Here is a 27,418-nt window from a genome sequence, read left to right as displayed (position 1 = left end):
AAAGTCCTCCCAAAGAAAAAATGTTTAAAATGTTTTATTCAGATTTCTAATTAGAAATGAAAGATTTTGACACTAATCTTTGTGTTAAATATTTTCCCTAATAGCTCTTTCAGAGGACTAATGCACTAACAGTTCAACAGTTAACTGCAGCTCAACAGCAGCAATATGCATTAGCAGCAGCTCAGCAGCCACATATAGGTGAGTCTTCATACGTTCTCATTTTGACCAAAGTCTTGTTAAAATGTCTAGGATGTTTCACTTTTCGTTTACTGATTGGTGAGGTTTTGTTACTTTTTGAAACATCTGAGATCAACAAGTAATAGGTTGTATGACAAAGGTGTTTATTAACTAGGGAATTGTTTCTGATTATTATTTGCATCACTGGTTTAATTAAATAAAAATCTGTAATTCGATAAAAGTTATTATCACATAAGTTTTTCTCCAATGTGAAGTTGAGAAAGTCAGACACTTGGAAATTCAAATTTACTTGTGTCCATTATCAAGTCAGTATGTTCATTTACATTTTTTTGTAAAATATTTTTTTCCATGAAGTTATTTGGTCTTTGACTTTTAATCTGCTAGAATTCAAGCTTGGTACATGATGTTGTCTGTACTAGGTCTCCCCACTACCTCCCACAATAATAATATGGGAATAACTTCCCTATACCCTTTACCCAGTTCCCCCTAATGGCTACACTTAAATTATTACAGTACAGTATCAAAAACAGTAATATGATATTGATGCAGTATGTATGTATAGTTTTATTTTATTTTATCAGGTGTAGATTTGTGTAAACATTTTTATGCCTGTCTGATTTTGTCTAAGTTTGTATGAAGACTGTCAACATCAGAGTCTATGGAAGGGGGTTGTCTTTCCTTAATGTCATATTCTTCTGTGTTAGTGCAATAAGGCTTCCTAAGCCCTAATTTTTATTTTTCAGTTTTTTTGTTTGTTTATTTTGGAGAGAGAGTCTCACTCTCACCCAGGCTGGAGTACAGTGGGGCAATCTCGGCTCACTTCAGCCTCCGCCTTCTGGGTTCAAGAGATTCTCCTGCCTCAGCCTTCTGAGTAGCTGGGATCACAGGCGTCTGCCACCACATCTGGCTAATTTTTGTATTTTTAGTAGAGACGGGGGTTTTACCATGTTGGCCAGGCTGGTCTTGAACTCCGGATCTCAGGTGATCAGCCCCCCCTCGGCCTCCCAAAGTGCTGGGATTGCAGGTGTGAGCCACCGCGTCTGGCCTATTTTTTGTTTTCATCAAAAATGTCAGGCTGCACAGTGGCGCCATCCTGAAATCCCAGCACTTTGGGAGGCTGAGGCAGGTGGATCACCTGAGGTCAGGAGTTTGAGACCATCCTGGCCAACATGGTGAAACCCCGTCTCTACAAAATTACAAAAATTAGCTGGGCTTAGCAGTGGGGGTCTGTAATCCCGTCTACTTGGGTGTCTGAGGCAGAGAATCGCTTGAACCTGGGAGACGGAGGCTGCAGTGAAGCAAGATTGCACCACTGCACTCCAGCCTGGGTGACAGAGAGAGACTCCGCTCAAGAAAAAAAAAAAAAAAAAAAAGTCCACATTTATAGGTGAGTGCCAGTCGCAGCATGTACTCTGGCCCCGTTTCTTTCCTCTTTTTGCCTCTCTTTCCTTTTTTCCCCACCCGCTTTATCCCTTGTTTGTCCTCTTATGTTAGAAATGTACTGCTACCTGTCTATTCATGGACAGCACAACGGTTTTTATTTCTCGAGGCTTTATATTATTAGGCAGGCTAATACATCTATTACTCTTCTTTTTTGGGGTTTTAAGTTTTTGGTTCTTGCTTATTTGCTTTTTTGTATGAACTTCAAAATTAGCTTATCTACTTCCAGAAGATAGGATTAAATGTTGTAATTTACTTAGGGAAATTTGACATCTTTATGCCATCAAGCATCAGGTTTTTTTTGTTGTTATTGTTTTTGTTGTTGTTTCTTTGACAAGGAGGTCTTGTTGTTTGACCCAGGCTGGAGTGCAGTGGTGCAGTCTTGGCTCACTGCAACTGCTGCCTCCCAGGCTCAAGTGATCCTCTCGCCGCAGCCTCCCGAGTAGCTGGGACCACAGGTGCACGCCACCACACCTGGCAAATTTTTTGTAGAGACAGGGTTTCACCATGTTGCCCAGGCTGGTCCTGAGCTCAAGTGATCCACCCACCTCGGCCTTCCAAAGTGCTGGGATTACAGGCGTGAGCCACCGTGCCCTGCTGACATCAAGTATTCTTGTCCAGGGTGTGATGTGTCTTTATTTTTGTTCAAGTTTACTGTAGTGTCATTTGAGTGCTTTAAAATTTTTCTCATAGGGGTTTGCATATTTCATTCTAAGTTTATTTTATGTATTTTATGTTTTGTTATTGTAAATGGCTTTCTTCCTGTCTTTCATTGTAGCTTTAAAGTGTTATCTATGAAAACTCAAGTACCATATATCAGATTTCATGAATGATATTTTAAAATAGTTGAATCGTCTTCCCATTCTTGGAATAAAAAAGACTTGTATATAATAATTATTTCTTTTAACATACTCTTTCAATTTGCTAGTATTTCATTTAGGATTTTTGCATCTATATAGTTAGATGAAATTAGTCTCTGTGTATCTGCAGTTTTTTCACGTTTTTTAGTGTCAGCATTCTTGCTTCACAAAAATAATTTTAGATACGTCTTTTTTTTTTTTTTTTTTTTTTTTTCGAAGACAGGGTCTTACTCTGTCACCCAGACTGGAGTGCAGTGGTACAGCCTCAGCTTCCCAGGCTGAAGCAATCCTTTCATCTCAGCCTCCCACATAGCTTGGGACTATAGGCTCGAGCCATGATGCCCAGTGAATTTTTTGTAGAGACGGGGATTCACCCTATTGTCCAGGCTGGTCTCGAACTCCTGGGCTCAAGTAATCCACCTGACTCAGCCTCCCAAAGTGCTGGGATTATAGACATGAGCCACTGCGCCCAGCCATTTCTTTCTTATTTTAATGCCTTAGAGTATTTTAATAATATTGGACTTACGTAATCTTTAAAGATGTGGCAGAACTTTCATGTGTGAGAAACCTAATATAAATAAATTTGAAAACCTAGAAAGCATAGTGTATCAAAATTGACCCCACATTTTAACTCAATTCCACAGTTAAGCAAATTCATTATTGACAATCTTTTTTATCCAAATTTGCCTGGTCACCTCTTAGCTGGCCAATAGCTCATTTAGAAAAGGACTAGTCGATAGAAATATGTATAATATGTACCATATAATTTGCAGTTATTTAGTAATCACATTTTTAAAAATTAAAAAATAGGTGAAATTAATTTGAATATTTTATTTAGCTCATATCCAAAATATTGCAAAATGTAGTCAATATGGAACTTACTAATGAGAATTTTTGCATTCTTTTCTTTATATTGTTTTTGAAATATAGCTGATCTCAAGTCAGCTTTGAATATAGCTGATCTCAAACTAGTCACATTTTAAATGCACAGTGACTATATGTGGAAAATTTTTAGAGTGTGAGTTGACAAATGTCTTCTGTACAAAAGGCTGTTGAATATTTAAAGCTTTGCATACCATATGGGTTTGGTCACGACCACTCCACTGTGCTGGTAAAGCATGAAAATGGTTATTAGATGATGCATAAATATTGCTATGTTCCAGTAAAACTTTACTTATGGGTGCTGAAATAGGAATTTCAAATAATTTTCATGTGTTTGAATTTTATTTTTTTGAACCATTTAAAAATATTAAAACTATTCTTAGCTAGTTTGTACAAAAATAGGTAAGACGCAGGCTTAACCCATGTACTTGGCCAGACAGAAATAATAGATAGGATAGAATGAAAACAAAAAGACAGGGTTATGTAGTTGGTTGGAGAGTTCCTAGAGTACAAGGAGTTGAGGGAGAATCCATAGGGGGGTAAATTGGGAATAAAGCCAGGTGACCTACAGATGGCTAGAAGAGGAATAAACAAACAAAAAGGGGCCTATGCAGTTCAGGCTTTGGGGGTTGAGTTGTAGTAACCATGTAAGAGCTCCCCCAGCTACTAATAAAAGACCTGGTTTGGAGATTTGACCCTATAGTATGTAGTTTAGGCAATAATTCTGATACCACATAATGAACAAGTGAGTGCAAGAGAAACTCTCATGTAAGATAATGTTTCAAACAAAAATGACAGTACAAAGAAGGATCAGCCAGAAAACATGTCGCAGAGTTCTAAGTTATGGAAGGGAACTTTAAAGTTGTGCAAAGAATGTAAGAGTATTTTCAGAACCTTAAGAGATAAAGGGTGTGAGCCATCAGAGATTATCAGAAGTCTTAAAACAACAGATTGCTGTGAAAAGGAGCCATTTCATGGTCTTGTAAATAAGTCATTGAAAAAATAGTTCTAGGTGAGCTGCATAATTGGCTATCACCTACCGCTAAATGAATTAGGATATAAAACGTAGATGGTCGCCCAGAACACTGAAATTCCCTATGGTAATCAAGACATGGGAAATGTAAAGGAGAAATGAAAAGCTATGGAATGAGTTAGGGAGTAAGTAAGGATGTACAAAGCATTTGTAAAGAAAACTGTAAACTTTTCCAGAAGTCTTGAATAAATGGAGACGTGATTTTTCTGGGCAAAACTCAGCATTATAAAAATGTCAGTTCTCCCTAAATTAATGTGTGTATTAAATATACTCTTGGTCAGAATCCCAGCAGGTTTTTTTTTCTCTTTTGAAAAAAAAAAAAAAAAACTTGAAAGCTTGATTTTGATGTTTGTCTCAGAAAAGTAAATGGTACTTTTCTGTCACCCAGGCATAGAGTGCAGTGGCCTATGGCTAATTGCAGCCTCGACCTCCCAGGCTCAAGCAGTGCTCCCAGAAAAACCAGAAAATTAATGGAAAACTAAAATTAAAGCGGAGGAGGAGGACTTGCTCAACCATATTGTTTCCGAGCAGAAGCACTCACTGCCTGATGCAGTAGAAGCCAATGCTATGGCACCAGGTTTTTGAGAAAAGAAAAGCTTTTTTTGTAGGTCAACCAACAAGGAGACAGGAATCCAGCTCAAGTCTATCTCCCTGTGCTGGCTTTAAGGGAGTAATTTTTATTAGAAAGGCCTTAGGGGATGGATTTTGAGATTATTAAGTAATTGGTGGAAGAAAAGGGGAGGCCTGGGAAGTCCTCAGCATGCACAGCTATCTCTTCATGCCACCTGATGGGTCGCATGTGCAAATTGCGGGAGAGTTAGTATGAAGCGTGGTGGAAATTTGGGCTGTGATGTCAGCAAGCTTGTTCTGCACAGACTGCAGTCCATATTGGTTTTAACCGATTTCAGCCAGTTTTGTTATCTTAGAGAGTTTCTGCATTTCTTTCTGCAAATTTGAACAGAGTTTCTGCATTTCTTTCTGCAAATTCTTTCTTTTCATATCTGCCATCCTGCAAACTCAAGAATTTTCATTAGTCACTGCTTTCTTTAACTTTTTGGAGCACAGTTTCAGTTTTTTAAAACAATTACTATGACAATTAAAATAGTGTGGTACTGGACTCAAAATGTATGAGTAGATCATTGAACAAGATTACTTTGAAATAGATCCATGTGTGCATGCATGCTTGTTTAGGGTAGAGTGATGAGATGAATTTCAAATCAATGCCAAAAGAATGATTATTTGGAAAATAACTTGGGGGGGCGGTTATTGGGTCTCATTCCTAATGGACTGAAATTTTTAATGAGAAAAACAAAAGCATAAAAGATTTGATACAATTTCCTTGTTGATAGCCAAACAACCATGGATTAAAACAAAATTTTTAAAAAATTTTTTAATTTACCTATTAGGTTGGCGAGTCTTCAGAATGTTTGATAATGTCCTGTTTTGGCAGGAGTGTAAGTGGCACTCATACTTTTGGAATGTAAACTGGTACAGTTTTCCTGGAAAATAATCTAGAAATGTGGATCAAGAATTTATATGACAGAAACAGGAAAGTCAGGTGTGTTGGCACCTGCCTTTATTCTCCGCTACTGGAGGTTGAGGCGGGAACATCAGTTGAGCCTAGGAGGTCAAGACCAGCCTGAACTCTGCAACATAGTGAGACGTTGTCTCTTAAAAAGAGAATTTATGTTTTTGTCTGTTGAAGTAAATTTTTTTTAAGGATATAGTAATGTACAGACCTGTGTATCTAAAGAGAATAATAGCATTATTTATTTATAGCAAAAGATTATGAACCATCTAAATATATAAAAGTAGTAGATTGATTATATCATGTTCCTTCTATACAGAAGACTACATATTATGTAGCCATTAAAAAGAATGAGTGGCTGGGCACAGTGGCTCACGCCTGTAATCCCAGCATTGTGGGGAGGTCAAGTTGGGTGGATTGCTTGAGCCCAGGAGTTTGAGACCAGCCTAAGCAATAGGCAAAACCCTGTCTCTACAAAAATCAGCCAGGTATGGTAGTGCGTACCTGTAGTCCTAGCTACTCAGGAGGCTGAGGTGGGAGGATCGCTTGAGCCTGGGAGGTGAAGGCTGAAATTAGCCATGATCATGCCACTGCACCCCAAGCCTGGGCAACAGAGCAAGACCTTGTCTCAAAAAAAAAAGGATGAGCTAGGTTTGTATCTGTAGACAGAGATTTATGATTAATTGGTAGGTGAAAAAGTGTATTAAAGTACAGTTATAGATTAGAGTACAAAATGAATGAGTATATATGCGTTTAAAAGTATGTATACATATCAGGAAAGGTTACATGAGGATTTTCACTTTCCACTTTATATCTCCCAGTATTTGAATTTTTAATAACAATCTTTTTATCATAAAACTATATTAAATTAAACTTTTAGATTTTTTAGTGGTATAAGTAGAACAGGAACCCTAATACATTGTTTTCTACTTTTGTGATAAAGATAATTCATGATAGATGAAGTTGCAAACCAAAAGATAACCGAGACAGGTCTCAAGCAGTTTAGAAAGTTTATTTTGCCAAGTTTAAGGACATGCCCATGTCGCAGCCTCAGGAAGTCCTGACAACATGTGCCCAAGGTGGTTGGGGCACAATTTAGTTTTATACATTTTAAGAAGACTTGAGATATCAGTCAATATGCATAAGATGTACATTGGTTTGGTCCGGAAATATGGGACAACTGGAAGCTGGGAGGGGGCTACCAGGTCATAGGTAAATAAGAGACAAATGATTGCATTCTTTTGAGTTTCTGATTAGTTTTTCACTGAATGCACAATTTACGGGAATAATCAGTTATGTGTTAGTCTGGCTTGGTGAAGAAATCAGATACGCTTTTTTCTCATGTGAGCAGAGCGATGACTTTGAGCTCTGCCTGTCCTTTGTCCATAAGGAATTTCCTTGAGGGCAAACTGTGAGGCAGATGCGTAGCTTTTTTTTTTTTTTTTTTCTCTTTCAATCTTTCTAGCTATCTTATTTAGGAATAGAATGGGAGGCAGGATTTGCCCAGTGCAGTTCCCAGCTTAACTTTTCTTTTTGGCTTGGTGATTTTCGGGAGATTTATTTTCCTTTCACTAACCTGAGTGGAATCTTGTAACCTTTTTGACCTAGGGCATAGCTAAAAACAGGACTCAACGAATGGCTTTAAAATGAAAGGATTTTATTGAACTCATAGTTTAATTCATATTTTCTTCACAGAAAGTATAAACCAAAATAAAATTCTAAGGCCCCCAGCAACCATCTGAATGGACTTCTTCCTTGGCCACGGTGCTCTTAAAATTTAACTTGAGGCCGGGTGCTATGGCTCACGCCTGTAATCCCAGCACTTTGGGAGGCCAAGGCGGGCGGATCACCTGAGGTCGGGAGTTCACAACCAGCCTGACCAACATGGAGAAACCCCGTCTCTACTAAAAATACAAAATTAGCCAGGCGTGGCGGCGCATGCCTGTAATCCCAGCTACTCGGGAGGCTGAGGCAGGAGAATCACTGGAACCCGGGAGGCGGAGGTTGTGGTGAGCCAAGATCGTGCTACTGCACTCCAACCTGGGCAACAAGAGCGAAACTCTGTCTCAAAAAAAAAAAAAATTTAACCTGAAGGACTGGTTCAGGCTGTGATGGGAAGTAGGGGTTGGACATGCTTCATTATACCTCTCCAGCATTAACATCAACGCAGACCTTAAGTCTGTTAAGGAACAGAGTCTATTCTCTCTGAAGCCTGCTCTCTGGAGGATTCATCTCTATGATAAAACTGTTGTTTCCACAACCTCTTATCACAACCCAAGCATTTCCTTTCTATTGATCCCAGGTCTTTAGATAAACTCAACCAATTTGTCAACCAGAAAATTTTAAAATGTACCTATGGCCCTTATATTTGGCTCAGAATAAATCTCTTCAAATAATTTACCGAGTTTGACGCTTTTCATAGATAAAAGCAGATTTCTTAAATGGCTGTGTTGTGCCTAGACAAGAAATCAGTGTTGAGGCTTGTATTTTTTAAAATTAAATAGGCTACAAAAAATGATTGTGTATAGGGAAAACTCTCTAAAACCATGTTGTTGTTATTTATTTAGGAGACAGAGTCTTACTCTGTTGCCTAGGCTGGACTGCAGTGGTGTGATCTTGGCTCACTGCAACCTCCACCTCCTGGGTTCAAGCAATTCTCATGCCTCAGCCTCCCGAGTAGCTGGGATTACAGGCATGTGCTACCACACCCAGCTAATTTTTATATTTTTAGCAGAGACGGGGTTTCACTGTGTTCAAGACCAGGCCGGTCTTGAACTCCTGGCCTCAAGTGATCTACCTATCTTGGCCTCCCAAAGTCGTGGGATCACAGGCATGAGCCACCATGCCTGGCCTAAAACCTTGTTTTTCCTCTACTCTCATGCCATGACAACACAGACTACTTCTGTGACCAAATGTGTGGGCGGTTTTCTCCACACACCAAGCAGGAGACACCAGCTGGGTGTCCTCTAATTCAGTTCCAACACTGTCTACCCAGAGACAATGTCGGATCCCAGAAGTTGAGGCCTCAGTCTCCAGGACTGCTTTCCACCCCCAACACACACTGATCACAAGTCTGGGCCTCCAGAACTTCTGACCGACTGGCTTCAAGTTGGAGTTCCCACAAGCCCCTCTTTGGGTTTGATTTGCTGGAGTGCCTCATAGAACACTTACTTTTACTGGTTTATTATGAAAGATACTGTTAAGGATACAGGTGTGCAGAGCTGCTGGGTAGGGTGAGGCATGGAGGAAGGGGTGCGGAGCTTCCATGCCCTCCCTGGGTGTGCCACCCTTCAGGAACCTGAATTTTGATTTTAAGGCCTAGTAAGATATATTTTCCTTTTGAATGCTTTTTAAAAATATTACTATTATCATTATTGTTGTTATTGTTATTATTCTGAGACGGAGTCTCGCCCTCTTGCCCAGGCTGGAGTGCAGTGGCGTTATCTCGGCTCACTCCAACCTCAGTCTCCTGAGTAGCTGGGATTACCAGCGTTTGCCACCACTCCCAGCTAATTTTTTTGTATTTTTAGCAGAGACAGGGTTTCACCATGTTGGCCAGGCTGGTCTTGAACTCCTGACCTCAGGTATTCCACCTGCCTCGGCCTCCCAAAGTGCTGGGATTACAAGCATGAGCCACCACGCCCGGCCTATTATTTTTTATTTATTTTTGAGACAGGGTCTCGTGAAGTAATTTTTTCCAGTAGCTGTGGTTGAAAGACCTGTACAGTGATTCCTCAACATCTGAGAGTTTCTTCTCTCTTTAATGAGTACTGCAAATGTATATTTTTAGGTCTTTTTCAGCCTTTACTAAATTCATATGGACGTATGTTACTCAGAAGTGAGTGTAACTGGCCTTTAAGCTCTTTCTTGTTTCCGTATTGACTGGAGGGTAAAATCCAAACTACTTAGCATGAACCAGGAAGCTCTTCCTTGGTCTTCATGATGGTTATACCTCCAGTTTTATTTTATCTTACACTATACCTCATTCATTTTACTCACCCCTTCCAAAGTTTATTAGATGTTCCTCCTCTCTGTGCCCAGAGCACTTAATATGCTATATTGTATTTGCTAATATACCTGTTTTTCTCACCAGATGGAGTGCTTTGTGAGGGCAAATTGTATATTCCTGCCTCACTGAATCCCTAGCTCATAATGTGACTTTATAAGATTGAGTGAAAAACTACTATTTACCAGTAGCAGTTCTGGCTCTCACATTTATTTTATGCCAGTCTCATGCTAATACATACTGTGCAGTCATTTCTTTTTGAATTTATATTTTTATTTTCTATAACATACCTCGAGACAGTACAGTTATGTCATAATCGGTATTACATTTAATTCTCACAGCAATTCTGCAAAACAGCTGTTTCTTAAATGAAAACTAATTTAGAGTTAGCGGTACATGCCCAAGGTCACTTAGTAAAAATTTGAACCATTATGCACACTCTGCTCCCCACCCCCACACCACCCCAGATTCAGAGTAGAAATGTTTTTATCTAATGAAAAAAATCATACTTTACATTGTTGTTTATTATTTCTCCCCTTTTAAAATATAGCTGGTGTATTCTCAGCAGGCCTTGCTCCAGCTGCATTTGTGCCAAATCCATACATTATTAGTGCTGCTCCTCCAGGGACCGATCCGTATACTGCAGCAGGATTGGCTGCAGCAGCTACATTAGCAGGTAACATACTATTTGTTCATCTTTATTATGGTTGCTTTTTAATGTATTTAGTTTTGGGTGTAAGCTTTATTTTTCTCTATTTGGGCAATTTGAAATTCCTAAGAAAAACTGAAACATTATCCAGAATGAACTAAAGTTTCCAGGAAGTTAGTACTATTTTTCAACTGTAATGCTACAGGGAAAAGCTTAAGCAATAACTTTTCCTCGTATACGTAATTGGCTTACATTTCAGCTTTATAGTTTTAGAAATCTATATAGTCAACCATGAATCTCCATTTTAATGACAAACCCCATTACCCGCAGAGACAATGCAAAGTAAAATTACTTCTCAGAAAATAAAATAGAGGTAGGTGGCCTGCATACATAGGTCAGGGGTAGAATAGAGTAAGATAAACAGATACAGTAATTCTGAGAAAATATGTATCTAAAATTTCTTGAGCAATGCTAAAATGTACAAACAAGGTGGGGGACAAAAAGTTTGGATCAAGTTGGAAAGAACGTACTAAAAACTGCCCAGCCTGAGACTACCACCCAGAATCTGAAATAAAAGCCAAAGCTGGCCAGGTGCAGTGGCTCACACCTGTAATCCTAGCTCTTTGGGATGCCGAAGCGCCTGGCCTGGGTGACAGAGTGAGACTGTCTAAAAATGAAAACAACAACAAAAAAGCTGTATTTATTGTCTGTGTAAGTAAGGAAAAGTTGTGTGCTGATCAGGCACAGTCTTATTTGAACAAAGCGATTTGCTGATCTTAGTTGGGGTTCTTGGGAAGAGTTTGTTTTAGGTTGAGGTGGCTACAAAGACAGAAATGAGTTAGTCTGAGGCATTGTTTATATTGATTATACAGGCAAGAATAGGTTGATATCTGCCTTAGAATTTTGTTTATTGGAATGAGTCTGCTAATGGGCTGACTTTCAAAACTTGAGGCTGTCCCTGTTGTTTTTGGGGGGGCTGGGGGGGCTTTGAGCGATATCTTGACTGAAATATTGTCACTAATCAGTTTGAAACCCACTTCTGACAGTCAGTATTTTCCTAGGAGACTGACTTTTTTTTTTTTTTTGAGACAGAGTCTCGCTCTGTTGCCCAGGCTGGAGTGCAGTGGCACGATCTCGGCTCACTGCAAGCTCCGCCTCCCGGGTTCACACCATTCTCCTGCCTCAGCCTCCCGAGTAGCTGGGACTACAGGCGCCCACCACCACGCCTGGCTAATTTTTTGTATTTTTCGTAGAGACGGGGTTTCACTGTGTTAGCCAGGATGGTCTCCATCTCCTGACCTTGTGATCCGCCTGCCTCGGCCTCCCAAAGTGCTGGGATTACAGGCGTGAGCCACCGCGCCCGGCCAAGACTGATTTTTAAAGTCAAGATCTTGTTTTAAAAAACGGGGAAGAAATTTCAGATTTATATTTGATATCTTAGCTACGACAATGAAACTAAGCTGTCATTAGCTTTTGGTGTGGACTTGGATGTGATTCTATAAGGATGTGAGCTTTTCTGGTGCCATTTAACTGGATGTTACTATGTAAAGTGTTGGTATAATACAGAGAACCACTAAACTGTGGGTCTGATAGAAGTAACTTGAAGAGGTCATTTAGTTTGTGTATAAGCATTCTATGTATTTTGGACTTAAGTTTTCTAGGACCAGCATTGTCCAGTAGAAATACAATGTGAGCCAGAAAATGTAGTTTAAGATTTTGTAGTAGTCACAATATAAAAGTAAAAAGCAATAAAATTAATTTCAATAATACTCTTTAATTTGTCCCAACATATCCAAAATATAATAATTTCAGCATGTTAATAAATTCAGGCTCCTGGCTAGGTTGGATGAGTTTCTAGGTAGATGTTATGAATAGAGTTTACAAAACTTATATTTTTTATAATATATCCTTTCATTTTTACAATGTGTCCTTTTTATTTTATTTTTACGATGTATCCTTTTCATTGTTTTATTTTTACGGTGTACCCTTTTTATTATTTTTACAATGTATCTTTTTATTGTTTTATTTTTACAATGTACCCTTTTTTTGGTAAACTCTATTCGGTGTTTTAATAGTCCTCATTTCAGGTTCAGCTTACCTGGCTATCTGTAGAAATAAAAGCTTTTTATTTTAGTGATTCAGTCAAATATACTGGGCTTTTTTCCCCTTTGAATGCAACGTGAAACCGAGAGTTTGACTTTTAAAAATACATTAATACAAATAAAGATGTCCTAAAATTCCACTGATAACATTTTAGGACATGTTTGTTATGTAAGTCAGGAATCATGACATTTTATTCATTACTTTAATGGTGAAGCTTATTGTGCATAAAACTATTTACTTTCTAGGAATCAAATATTATCTTGAATAAAGTAGACTAGAGCAGGAACAATTTATTCTTATTTTCCTAGTTTCCCTTCTATTTTTCTTTCTGCTTATATTATCTAGTGCTTTCTTGTCTTGACTCAGTTTCATTTTCCTAACCACATAAATGCTGACGTCTCATTTGTTTTCTTATAATTTGCAGTTGTTCTGTGAGAATCGTGACTGAAATATGAAAAATATTTTAAAATTTAAGGTTTTCAACTCAAATACCATTGTAGCATGCTTGGTACCAGAATGTTCCCCAGTTTTGTGTTATAGATTGGAAAGTAAAATATTTTAAAAGTATCTTGTAATCCATCTCAGTAGTCAAAATTCTCTGAGAGAAACGATGAATGAGCATTTAAAAAATCTTAGTTTTATGGAATCTGTGTTCCCTGAATATATTATCTGTATAGTGTCAGACCCAAAAATTGGCATTCATTAAATGTTGAATAGATGGTTAAGTGTCCTATCAGTTTATTGGTAGCCTTGAGGTTGGATTCCTTGAGGATGGATTCTCATCTTTTCCCTTTAAGACCATTGCTGTCACCCATCAATACTTTGTCTTTTATTATAAAGACATGTTCTTCTCTAAGTCTTCTTCCTGCCCCCTTTTATAATCTGATGATAGGTAGCTAACCTCATGTCTATGTAAAATCTAGTAACTTTTTATTCGGGGGTCGGGTGTGGGGTTTAGGTCCAGCAGTGGTTCCACCTCAGTATTACGGCGTTCCATGGGGGGTGTATCCAGCCAACTTATTTCAGCAGCAAGCTGCAGCTGCGGCAAATAACACAGCCAGTCAGCAAGCAGCATCACAAGCTCAGCCTGGACAGCAACAGGTAGGCCTTCCTTCTATTAAGTAATACCAAGTATTCTTTGAAATTCTTTGAGCTCCTAATGTTTAAGATTTGTGTTTTTCGACTTACGTTTCCTCACTGTGTAACACGACTCCTGGCATACAGTTGATACGCAAGTATTTATGCATGGGATTTTATTTTTCCTAATCAGTATTATATGAATTTAAAAGATTTGGTTATATTCAGTTTCTGTGTTTCTGTTATTTTGCGATCTTGAAATCTCTAGCAGTTTCTAAATTTCTTTTCATCACTTCATGTTAGTGTGTTAATAATGTTCCTATCAAAATAATTATTCCTTCATATTTTTCCAGGTATTTAAATTACAATTTTAAATGTTAATGTGTTTCTGACCAGTAAAAAGGGATTAGTAGGTATTTTTTATTTTTAAGCAAGAAATGATAAAATATTTTCACTAAAGGTTAGCTTTAATTTCTGGAAAAAGAAAGATGTTTATATCTTTAAAATTTTGAGCCTTTTTCAAAAGAACTAACTTGATAAATCTAAAAACACTATAATAAATAACAGAATTCTGACTGTCACATTCATTGTATTTATACCGAAGAAGCACCATGGTATTGCTTACTTGGCAGTTAAACTTTATTCTGAATTTCCTTTAATATATTTTATTTTTTATTTTATTTTATTTTTATTTTTAGCAGTCTTACTCTGTCACCTAGGCTGGAGTGTAGTGGCACGATCTTGGCTCACTGCAACTTCCACCCCAGGTTCAAGTGACTCTTATACCTCAGTCTTCCAAGTAGCTGGGATTACAGGTGTGCACCACCACACCCAGCTAATTTTTTCTATTTTTATTAGAGACGGGGTTTCACCATGTTGGCCAGGCTGGTCTTGAACTCCTGGCCTCAAGTAATCCACCCACCTCGACCTTTCAAAGTGCCGGAATTATAGGCGTGAGCCACCGCTCTCGGGTAATATATTTTGATTCTACATAGATGCTCTGTTGAAGCTGTTTTTGGCTCAGTCCTTTGACATCATATCACTTCATTGTTTAATAAATTATTTTGTAATCTGTATGTTTGGACAAATGTAATGTCACATTAGCTTAAAATATACACACCTGTGTTTGATGCTTACTTACAGAGAAGGACTTACGACTCCCACTTGTCCTGAGTTGTTTAAAATTAATGATTAAATTTATCATGCTTATGTATGATTGCTACAACAGCTATGTATTGCGGAATAGTAAACCTTGACCAGACTAAGTTTTCACCTTGTTTTGATATATAATCCTGTGTTCTTTTAAAAATATGTTTAAAAGCAGCTTTTACTCTTATTAAGGCTTCTGAATCCTGAAAACTTGGTTTGGTCTGCATCAGTCTCGTAACAAATTCGAATTTATTTGCCGAATCTTTCCGTATTTCCTTTTTCAGCCTTAGTGTTGTTTTGTTTTGTTTTGTTTTGTTTTTTTTGAGATGGAGTTTTGCTCTTGTTGCCCAGACTGGAGTGCAATGGAGTGATCTCAGCTCACCACAACCTCTGCCTCCCGGCAGCAATTCTCTTGCCTCAGCCTCCCAAGTAGCTGGGATGACAGGCACGTGCCATCATGCCTGGCTAATTTTGTATTTTTAATAGAGAACAGGGTTTCTCCATGTTGGTCAGGCTGGTCTTGAACTCCCGACCTCAGGTGATCCGCCTGCCTTGGCCTCCCAAAGTGCTGGGATTACAGGTGTGAGCCACTGCGCCCAGCCTAGAAAATAATTTTAATAAAATCTAATTTTAGGCCGGGTGCAGTGGATCACTTGAGGTCAGGAGTTAGAGACCAGCCTGGCCAAAATGGTGAAACCCCGTCTCTACTAAATACAAAAACTTAGCCAAGCGTGGTGGCGTGCGCCTGTTGTCCTAGCTACTGGGGAGGCTGAGGTGGGAGAAGCACTTGAATCCAGGAGGTAGAGGTTGCAGTGAGCTGAGATCATGCCATTGCACTCCAGCCTGTGTGATAGAGCGAGACTTCGTCTCAGAAAAAAATCTAATTTTAAAGTCTTAAGATTTTGCCATTCCTCCTACTCCCAAACAAATCTTTGGGGAAAAAAAAAAAAAAAACTACCAACTGTCAGCCATGGGCCTGACGGCGCTAAGCTCTGGGGCTCCGTGCACTGACGTGGGGCCAGCCACAGGGAGGCGGGGATCAAGTAGCGGAGGCCAGGATTTTGGCCACCTCCCGGGCAAGTTGCAGGGCAGTGGCGCCGGGAGCAAAAGCAGCATGATGCAGCTCATGCACCTGGAGTCCTTTTATGAAAAAACCTCCTCCTGGGCTTATCAAGGAAGATGACACTAAGCCAGAAGACTGCATACCAGATGTACCAGGCAATGAACATGCCAGGGAATTTCTGGCTCACACACCAACTAAAGGACTTTGGATGCCACTGGAGAAAGAAGTCAAAGTTAAGCACTTACTTTTCATTGGATTGCTTCATAATTTCTTGGTGATGGAAAATTCATTCCTAAAGCAACAAGATTAAAGGATGCTTGGGTTGGCGTTGCAAACGGTATGGTCACCAAATGGGCGACAAACAATGCCCTTTCTTTATCAAAGGTAACTGAAAGAGCAGTTCAGAGTAGCACATGAAGATCCCATATATGGCAGCATGTGAGGCAATAAAAGACATGAAAAGGATGTAAGGATACAGCAGTTAAAACAGTTATTGGAGGATTCTATCTTGGATGAAGATGGGAGCAGCTCCAGTTCCTCTGAAGTAAAGAGAAACACAAGAAAAAGAAGAGGAAAGAAAAGGAAGAAAGAAAAGAAAAAGAAGAAAAAATGGAAGTACAAATCTTCCAAGTCAAATGAGAGTTCTGACTAAGGGTGACGAGGACTTGACTTGTTCAACATTCTCTTCTCAAGAATTAAACACTGTAGCCAAGGAACAGAGGAATATGCAGTCGGTCGGATAAAGTACCAGAATAGAGACGCCGAGCGAGGAGGATATGTGGGTCACAGCAGTGAGCTCCCACCTGCCTTCCAGTGAAGATGTGACCCCAGGAGAAGTATCTCCTTCCATGTACTAGCTCTGGACAGAGGCTGACTTTAGGCAGGAAAGTTTCTTCGATGTTGTCCTCCCTGCTGGTCACATGAGTTTACCATTCATTCTTTTGAAATGTCTTCCACAAGGTGGCAGGACTGAGGGAATCTCTAAGGCATGTCTTCCAGGCCCTGCCACAGCTTGTGCCTTCCACAGTGTGGACTCAGTTCCAGCAGATGTCAGGCTGGAGTCTTCTCTGTTGTTGAGAATAATAAAAGCTCATTATTATTATTATTATTTTTTAAACTACTTTGTTAAAGAGCACAGATATTAGAAATAGTTTTTAACCAAAGATTTTCTGTAACCTCCATGTTGCTTTATAGATTGTTCTAGCTGTTAAGAGCTAGTGATTGTGTTTTTGATGTTAATGTATTTTGTGATTTTTCATGCTAAATCTACATTTCCTTGCATGTAAATGTTTAAAAAATATCCAAAGGCTGTTTGTAATAAATACACAGTTGTCCAAGATAAATTTACTTATCTATTATTTTATATTGATTTTAAGAAAATCATTTTACCTTTGTAGGTTCTCCGTGCTGGAGCAGGTCAGCGTCCTCTTACTCCCAATCAGGGTCAGCAAGGGCAGCAAGCAGAATCACTTGCGGCAGCTGCAGCAGCAAATCCAACATTGGCTTTTGGTCAGGGTCTTGCTACTGGCATGCCAGGTATACAATTGGTCATTTGTGGAAATTTGAATAGATTTCAGATGTTAAGTGTAGGTACTCACACTGAAGAGTGAAAAAAATCAAACTGTATTTAAAATCTTGCCTACCTTGTAACAAAATATTTAGAACTCAGATGCTAATAATTGAAATCAGTATTGATTGTGAGACTCAACGACAGGAATGGTAAATTGAGACTCAACGACAGGAATGGTAAATATGTATCAGAATTCTCAACACAGCCATTTTTTTATAGCATCTATCTAATCCTAACCCAGAATTTTTAATATATTGCTTCAAGAAGTAAAACAGTTATTGAGAGTTGGTATGCAAGACAATCTATTTGCCACTCCTGCTTTATAAGAATAATCTTTTAGTTAATAGCAGAAGTTTGCCGCTAATGTTTCTTACTTTGAACCCTGTTTAATCTTGTTTAGCCCATTTATAGCGTTTAAAACTATTATTTATAACTTAATAGCAACAGTGTCGATAATGTGTCTTTGAAAGCCTAGTATAAAAAATTACAGTATAAAATTTCTACCCATTGCTACTGTACAACTTTTGGGAAAGGGCAACAAAGTACTTTTTTGTGAAATGATCACTAATAATAATGGAGGAAGAACGGTTGTTTTCTAAGTAAAAAAAATGCAGCATTTGTTTTTAAACTTTAAAGCTATATTTGAATATCAGTAGATAAGGCATAACTTGCCATTCTCTTTTGGAGATTTAAGTATGCTTTTTTTCACTTTTGGTATATCAGTGGTTGTCCGTATATGGGTTACTTACTAATGATATTTGAGTTCCAATTTCCATTTAATCATAATGCAGTTTACTTTTCTATTCAGATCATTTAGGAAATGTGTTCAGTGTATTGGAAAAAATAATGACTTGCATGATTGAGAGTTTCTTTTATATATTAAGTACTTGTAAATACTTTGGTTTGTTGTTTGAAGGATTTCTATTTCAATTACATTTATTCTTTCTCTCTGGAATTTTAAGATCTGAATTTATCATCTTGTCTGGTTCACGGGATAAAGAGATTTTCATCCTGCTGTCCCTGAAGTAGAAATGATAGTAGAGTGGGTGGCATTCTCATTATTTTATTTTTTATACCCCAGCCATATATTTTTGCTTCCTGGACTCTACTGTCATGGAGTCATTGTGGATTAGAGACCTTGGCAAAAGCAGACTTTTGAGAAATGGACTGTGAAGCTGAAGTTGTTTTAGGCACATGGACGTTGGGCTGAAAAGTGAGCTGGGAGTTTTTGAGGGCCACTGAGACTATTTTGGGTTCTTCTTAGGTTTTAGCTATATGTAGAACGGAGAGAGGAGTTATGGAGTACAACAATTTTTCCTGCTTAACTAGTTTCTCTGTGGAACCTGGAATTAAGAAGAGTGCCTCTGGCCTGCATGTGTTTGCTGTGTCCTGTAACTCATTGATCCTCCTAGGCTCTTGATGCTGGCCCTATTACTCATTTCTTAGGCACGTGCCACCACACCCAACTTTTTTTTTTCTTTTGTATTTTTAGTAGAGACGGGGCTTCACCATATTGGCCGGCTGGTCTTGAACTCCTGACCTCATGATCCACCCACCTTGGCCTCCCAAAGTGCTGGGATTACAGATGTGAGCCACCACGCCCAGCCACACAACATGTCTTAAAGTGGATTACTTAATCTTTTGAGCCACAACTTTTTAGCCTTTTTAGAAATACAAACGAAAAAACCACTCTCATAAGAAGGGCCTTACTAGGATTTGTATTTGTATGTTTCAGTGACTTTTGGGCTGTTCACATGATCCCCTCACACTAAAACTTTCTTTGATGCCTTCTTTACTTCATTGTGCCCAGACTATGATGATGAAATAATTCTCATTTTCCATATCCAAATAGTTACATAGTTATAAAGCTAATGTGTATACTAAAAAGGGCTCACTTGAGAAAATCGATGTTCCTTCAGGCCTCATACTTTAGCTCTTCTTTCTAGCTTTCTTCAGTACTTTATCAGATCCCTAGTTACTGTTCTATTCTTAACTCTTCTGCTTTATATCCTGTGTGCTATTGTTTTTCCGTCTTGAATCTTTAGTCTTTCCCTCTCCCAATCCTTCCTTTCAACCCCACTGTGCTATTCTGCCTGTTCATCCTAAAAAGCTTTATCTCTGCTCTGCTTCCCTCATGGACTATTTGTCAAAATTTATACTCTATCCCATAACTTTTAAATTCTGCCTCTATAATTCCTTTGCAGTATCTCTAATATAACTTAGTGACAGTTACAAAGTATAATTTCCTCTGTATCTTTTTTTATGCTCAGTTTGTTGCAGTTCACCCTGTTGACTGTGTCCAACTCTTTGTAACTCTTTTCTGCGGAGTGGTATTTCACTCATAGCCTTTTCACCTCTCATTGCTTTTTTATCAGTCTCTGCTTCCTCTATGTATATCCTTAAATATAAAAGACAGTCTGGCTTAATGGCTGCCTTCTTCAGAGTCAGATTTGCTGTATTTCCACCACATAGCTATTGTTTAACCGTGCCCAAGTTATTTTCCTTTTTGAATTTTCGTTTCAGATAGGAAAAGTGGAGATACTTTAGACTTATTCCTCAGGAGAGTATATTTGCATTAATCCTTTCAACTATTATCCCTGTGAATTTACATCTGCATCTTGGATTCTTTTCTGAACACCTAATACATGTCTGTCCTTATACCAGACATTTCTACTTTTATGTTGCAGGCACTCCTCAAATTGAAAATGTCAGAAAATGAACTCACATTTCCAAATTTTCCTGTCTACTGTTTACCTTGTTTCACTTTACTTTCTCTAGAACTAGAAACTCTTGGCTGCAACTTCAAAGTTACCTTTAACTATTGGTTTTCTTCTGTGCCTCCACATCCAATAACTTGCCAATTCTCTACCATTCTGTCTCATGGTCATTTTTATTTTTATGGAGACAGTGTCTGTGTTGCGAGACTGGTCTTGAACTCCTGGCCTCAAGCAATTTTCCTGCCTTGGCCTCCCAAAGTGCTGAGATTATGGGCCTACCAAATCTCTCAACTTCCTTCATAGTCCTGTGCTTTAATGCACTAGACCATATACTGTTACCCAAACATACCATGCACTTCTATGCCTCTAGTCCTAGCTCATGTTCTTTTTTTTTCTAGCTTAAAATACCCCTTTATAAATTTTAAACAAAATTGGTGTATATAGTTCTTGCTTTTTAAAATTTCAGCCCATAAACATTTTGTGATTAACTATCCTTCTCATCTTTTAATATGGTCCCTTTCATGAAGCTTTCCTCAATCTTTCCCAGTGCTCATTCATTGATAATTACTCCCTTGTCTGCTCTCTTTGGTATATTACTTGCATCTTCTTTTAGTACTTCTGTGTGCCTTGCATTTCATTTAGCTATTTGTGGTTTATTTTCACCATTCTACAACTCTTATTTTAATGTGGTCGTAGATGGGAAATGTCTTAGAGAGTTTTGTTTCTCTGAAGGGAAGTTGTTAGATCTATGTCATATGTTAAAGTAAATGGCATTTTAGAATTAAGAAGGGGTGTGTTTCCTCCTGTGCTAGATTGCATAATTCTTGAGTACGAGGACCATGTTTTTTTGTTTTTGTTTTTCAATTCCCCATGTCTTGTCTTCATTCTTCCCTACGTCGTTTTTTTTTCCTTTTCCCACTCTTCATACATTCATCTAACCAGTCACAGACTTTCTCAGTAGCAAAAAGATAATTCAGATGAGATCAGGCACGATCAGGGTTGTATGGCCATAGACAAAAAGAATGGAAATTAGCAACTTTTGAACAGAATTACAGTGAAAATGCTGCATATTTAAACTTGTGGATTAGAACAAAAACATAGCATAGAGAATATATAGGTTTTAATGATTACATTAGAAAATTAGGCTGGAAATGAATGAGTTAAGCATTTATCCAGAAACTCTAAAAAAAAGAGAGAGAATAAAACCAAAGAATGTAGAAGGAAGCAAATAATAAAAATAGGAGCTGATATGAATGAAAAGTAATAAACAAAATAATTATCCCGGAAATTACTTTGAAGACAATGAAGTTGACCACCTCTTTGAAAAGACAATAAAGTTGATAACCTCAGAGACTCATCAAAACAGAGAAGGCATAAATAACCAATAACAGGAAAAGTAATCATTAGCTATTAGGAACAATCTCATGTTAGTAAATTAGAAAATGTTGACTAGATAAATTATGATGTCCATCTTTATCATAAATAGAAATTCTGTTCTTATAATTCTTAGGCCAAAAAATAAGGGGAATCCTTGACTACTTTTTACCTCACATCCCACGTCTAATTTCAGCAAATCTCTAGGGTTCTCCGAATTCAACTACCTTTCTACTGTCACTTCTATTTTGACTTGGTCCTCATTACTTCTCCTCTGGATTAGCTTTCCATCTGGCTTCTCACATCTTCTTGTCCCTCTTTTCTCCCCTATGGAGTCCTCTCTCTACATAGTAACTTGGGTGTAAGAAAAGTCGAAGTAATTCACTCCTCTCCTCAAAACTCTAATGGTTTCCTGCCTGAAGTCAGAGTAAAAGCTCAAGTTATTAACAGTGACCTGTAAGGATCTGGCCCCTTGTTGCCTGTCTTACTCTTTGCTCCGTCTCTCTTTCAGTCGTACTGGCTTACTTTCTGTGTCTTCTATTTGGAGATGCCTTCCTACAGATATCTGCTTGACTAGTTCTCCCAGTTTCTTTAGATTTTTCCTCATATGTCATCTTGTTATGGAGATTCTTCATGATTCTCAGCTTTGAATTATTAACACTGTTGTCACTGCCCAATAACTTCTATCCACTTTCCCTGTCTGATTTTTCTCTCCTTTTAATATGTAAAACTGTCTAACATACCTTTTTACTTATTTTTCATTTATCTCACTTGAAGCAGAAAATGATCTCCTTTAAGGATATTTTTCCTTATTTTTCCCTGCTTTATCCCAGTACCTAGAATAGTGGCTGGCATGTGGTAGCCACTTGATAAATATTTGTCAAATGGATGAATTTATGAAAAATTAAGCTAAGTAGAGAATGAGAGTGGGAAAAAATATCATGCTGTGACAGAGGAACAGAATGCACCAAACTCCTGTGCTGAGGGGAATCGTGGTGCCTCTGAGGAGTTTGAACCCCCATTTTTCCCAATACGTAAAAGGTACATGAGTACCAGGTAAAACTAGAAAGACAGCCAGGAACCAACCAGATCATGTTGTGGGCCATATTCAGAGCTTTGCTTTTCATTTCAAACCCTTTGGAAGGTTTGGAGCAAGAGTGTGGATTGATATCTTTTTATATCAATCTCAGACCACAGTCTCTGTGGAGAATGTGTTACAGACATGGGACAAAAGAGCAAGGGCAGACCATATAATCTGGTTGGACAGGAAAGTAGCCATCAAGAGAATGGATGGATTTGAGAAAGATTGGAAGGTAAATGAACAGGACTTCAGAGTTGAGTTGACTGTGGGTTATTTCCTCTCTGGGAATTTATATACGCAAAATTTAGTTAAGGAGCAGTTAAGTGCTGTTTGATTTGTCAGTAGAGTGTTTATAGCCAAATGTCCAAATGGATTTACTTTTATTTTTAATTCAAATTCAGATGTTAAGTAAATGACAATGTTTTTGAACAAGAATGTTTTCTGTGTGCCTTGGATTTAGGACTAGACCACACATACCAGTTAAGACTATTGACTGGCATGTACAGTTTGAAATTTACTAGTAATGTGGATATTTTATTAGCAGCGTGCTAATGCTTATTCTTGATCAGAATTACTGTATTTACTAAAAACAACCTATGCATGTGTGTCTTACAGGTGAAGTGTTTATCTGAGCACTGTTTATTATATTTGAGCTGAATTTAGCCTACTGTGTTTAAAGGCAATAAAATGTTCATGCTGCATTATCACTAATTTTACTGTAACTCTCACTTCTGCATAGTATTAACAAAATAAGACTTAAAAATTGATGTTGGAATGTATTTCAGTATAGTCTGTGTTTTTAAAAACTTCTTAAAGGACCAGACACAGTTGGGAGGCTGAGGCGGGAGGATCGCTGGCCCAGGAGTTAAAGACTAGGCTAGGCAACATAGTGAGGCCCTATTTCTGTAGAAAATAAAAATAAATTATCCGGACCTGGTGGCATGTACCTGTAGTCCCAGCCACTTAGGATGCTGAGGCGGGAGGATCATGTAAGCCCAGGAGTTTGAGGCAGCAGTGAGCTATGATTATGCCACTGTGCTCCAGCCTAGACAACAGAGCAAGACAGCACTCTTTAAGGGAAAAAAAAGTTGCCAATGCATGTTTTGCTGATAGTTGTAAGGTTATTGGGCCTCAGTTTTTTGTCGCTTTATAAGGCAGCCTTTCTAAACTGAGTTCCAGAAAAGAATAAAGCCTTATTACTGCTCTGAAGTATCCACAGTGTATATAGCTAACTTCTCTCCTGTGATTCCAGAGTGATGCTTGTTATATACCATCCTTAGGAGAATTAACAAAATACTTACTTAAATCATTTTCTGTGTTTTTGGTTCAACAGAGAATCTCCATTGAGAAAGGCTGCTAAGAAGTTAACTTTATTCTCCACTATTTGTGAAGATTACCTACCTTGTGCTTAAGGCTACAATAAAACTAAAGCCTGTGTGATTTTTAATTAAACTCTAGCTTGAGAATCTTCACAAATAGAATGTTTGGCTTAAGTTTTTAAAGAGATGATTACAAATGAAAATCTAACGGAATGCTGGTAATGAGGCACTTGATTTTGAACTTCAATGAAATTGCACAGTAAACATTTCGTACAGTGTTCTACCTCGCTACTCCCAGTTTTTTTAATCCTTCTTCTTCGAAGGGCTAAATGGTGATTTTTTTTTTCTAATATCAGCCCTTCCTTCATAGCCTGTAGTTTCTATATTAAGGAAAATACCTCTTCATTTTGTGGCCCCTGAGTAAAATTTAGAGAAAAAATGTTTAATGACAGTCTATTACTTTTTCATATATTTAGTAAGACCTTGTCAAATGTGTTGCTTTGCATATATTAACTAAGGATTTTATAGTAATGGTACAAATAGCTGTGTTGTCTAGTTGAAAAAATACAAATGCAGGGAAAAACAAATATGCATGTTTTTGTAATAAGTGCTTTCATTAGTAAACCTTTATTTTATTTAGGCTATCAAGTACTAGCTCCAACTGCCTATTATGATCAGACTGGTGCCTTAGTGGTTGGCCCTGGAGCAAGGACTGGCCTTGGAGCTCCAGTTCGGTTAATGGCTCCAACACCTGTTTTAATTAGTTCAGCAGCAGCACAAGCTGGTAAGTGTAACTGACATTTTTAGGATAATATTTTTCTGGTGTTGAGATACCATTTTTAAAATACAGAATTTTCTGGGTGGTTTAAAGAAGTATCTGAAATTTATTTTACAGCAGCAGCAGCAGCAGCTGGAGGAACTGCAAGTAGCCTTACAGGCAGCACAAATGGTCTGTTTCGGCCAATTGGCACTCAGCCACCACAGCAGCAGCAACAGCAGCCAAGCACTAATCTGCAATCTAATTCATTTTATGGAAGCAGTTCTTTGACTAATAGCTCCCAGAGTAGTTCTTTATTTTCTCATGGACCTGGTCAACCTGGAAGTACATCTCTTGGCTTTGGAAGTGGTAACTCTTTGGGTGCTGCTATAGGCTCAGCCCTCAGTGGATTTGGTTCATCAGGTAAGTTTGTTTTTACGATGAGTGTACTCTGCTAAGTGGAAGAGGTATATGAGTGTGTTTAACATTAAAATAAGCAATAATAGCATGTAGGATAGGAAGGACAGGAATAAAGTATTGGACTACTGGTTTAATTTGTAGGAAAAAAAAATCCTGCAAATCTTTTCAACACTCACCAATGTTTAACTCACTATAGGCAGCCTGTTCTTTACTCATATATAATACATTTCCTTTTTCCCTGGCTCTAGGAATTGATTACTGTAATTTTTGTTTTAGTAGGGTTTATTTGGGTCAATATATTATTCACTAATTATTAGCTCATCTTCATTCACTACATAATGTTTGTGGAGGCAAATATTTTGCCGTCTTAAATTTTTGGTATTTTAAAGCAGTTATCTTTGTGTCCTTATTAGATGGTTTATTCTTATTAAATGCTGGTAGTTTATTACAGTTTTTAAATTTGGCCTAATATAAAAAATACATATGTGTATGTATAAATACTGAAATGTTCTACACAGAATCCCCTAAGAAGCTACCAGTATGGTTATCTTTTAGATTAAATAAGTTAGCCTTTGTCACTAAAAATTCACTTAAAAGGGTATCTATTCATGTATCTTAGCTTTATATAACACTTAACAAATCAAAATTTTAAATAGCTTCACTAAATAATTGACCCACTCAAACTGGTTCCTGGATCCTGTGGTAGAGGAAGAACTAAGTGAAATCAGAAGAGGCCCACGTTGACTTCTTGTTGATACACTTGGTGTTTTCTGTGAGGTTTCCACAGTACTCAGGAAACATTAGGGAAAAAACAGCTGACCCAGTTCTATCGGTGCAGCTGGCAGCTTTTACTTCATGAGGATAGGACTATTTGGACCTCAAGAGATTTTCTGTTTCTATAACATAACTTGCTACAGTCCTTAATATCTGTTTCTGATCTCTTTTCTTACCACATCAAATTATATTCTTTTCTGGTGTGGAAAATGGCAGAACTAACACATGCCAGGCATTATTAACAATGCTTGCCAGTTTTCTAAGGGAGTGTCTTCTGAACTTTTATCATTCATATATACAGGAAGGATGGTCTAGAACAGCCACAAACTTTTAGATGGCAGAATCTTTTTTCATTTATTGTAATGAAATACAATAAGTGGATGTCATATTGGACTGACACAAAATTATCTGAAGACTGCTCATAAGAATTTCTGAGGGAAAATCCAGTGAACATGGGGATTGTTAAATCTTTTCAATTTTGTACTTGAGTTTTTTCATTGCTTTTGGAGTTGTGTATCTCTTTGTCCACCTCACGCACTCCCATAGGACTCATTCCTTGTTTCTAACACAATTGGGACATTTTCTCCAAAGAATCCTAAATATTCTGAGGAAAACTGGAAGAACAAGTAACATAAAAAACAAACTTGTGGAAATAGTTTTTAAATTATAAATTGTAGGCCCTAAATAATTCAGAAAAAAGAGAGCATTGATTAAACCCCATGTTTCCTTTCTCACGTAGTATGTCACTGATCGTCTGGTTCAGATTTCTAGGCCCCTACTCAATTCTTTCAAATTTCCATTTGTTTCTTAGTTAAGGCTGTTTTCCCCCTTTCAGGAATTGATTGACATGAACATTTTGTCCACTACAGATGCCCTGTTTCCCCAAAACTAACCTTCACACCTCCATTATTTACAAGCATGGCTTACTTAATTCTGACTCCAATCTGTAAGAGCTTCATTTTACCTTGCTTTAGAGAGCATTAGTGATTGCCACCCCTGAATGCCAGTAAAGAGTCCATCGTATCTCTCCTCTTGGGCATTTTGTGGGAGTTTTTTCAAGTGCTATATATATGGACTCTTACAAGTTTGCACACTGCCTTTTCACATTATGGCAATTACATACTTACATGAGCTCTAAAACATAATATGGTTGTGTGCCTGTATACACATATACAAGTAACATACACAGTCCTTCTCTTACCTCTATGATGAAATTATTAATGTTTAACAGTGTTAAATACCCCATTTTATGATATAGTTGGCCAAGAAGCCTAAACATCGTAACATATAATTTAAATCATCTTTTCTATGACCTGTTATTTTTTAAAGTGTTGTTACAATTGAAAGTTTATAATTTAGCCTTTTTTCACAGTCGATGAATGATTAGCAGTCTGTCTACCCTCTTAGATATTTTAGGT

The 27,418-nt window shown here is 37.9% G+C and overlaps 1 protein-coding gene and 1 pseudogene across 54 annotated transcripts in view; both read left to right on the top strand.

Moving 5' to 3' along the window:
• PUM2 (pumilio RNA binding family member 2) overlaps positions 1-27,418 on the top strand; it is a 103,563-nt gene that overhangs the window by 44,078 nt on the left and 32,067 nt on the right. For all 54 annotated transcript variants that reach the window (XM_047443807.1, XM_047443803.1, XM_047443815.1 and 51 more), the window contains 6 exons: positions 105-198; positions 10,498-10,623; positions 13,658-13,800; positions 17,386-17,524; positions 24,690-24,833; positions 24,945-25,229. In XM_047443807.1, coding sequence (XP_047299763.1) covers positions 105-198; positions 10,498-10,623; positions 13,658-13,800; positions 17,386-17,524; positions 24,690-24,833; positions 24,945-25,229 — 931 coding nt within the window. The remainder of the gene's footprint in view (positions 1-104; positions 199-10,497; positions 10,624-13,657; positions 13,801-17,385; positions 17,525-24,689; positions 24,834-24,944; positions 25,230-27,418) is intronic.
• Positions 15,914-16,637, top strand: LOC100421404 (RP9, pre-mRNA splicing factor pseudogene; annotated as a pseudogene).

This window comes from Homo sapiens, chromosome 2 (assembly GCF_000001405.40).
Source record: "Homo sapiens chromosome 2, GRCh38.p14 Primary Assembly".
NCBI lineage: Eukaryota > Metazoa > Chordata > Mammalia > Primates > Hominidae > Homo > Homo sapiens.
The sequence above is the reverse complement of the archived record's forward strand: the minus strand, read 5'-3'. Positions and strand labels throughout refer to the sequence as shown.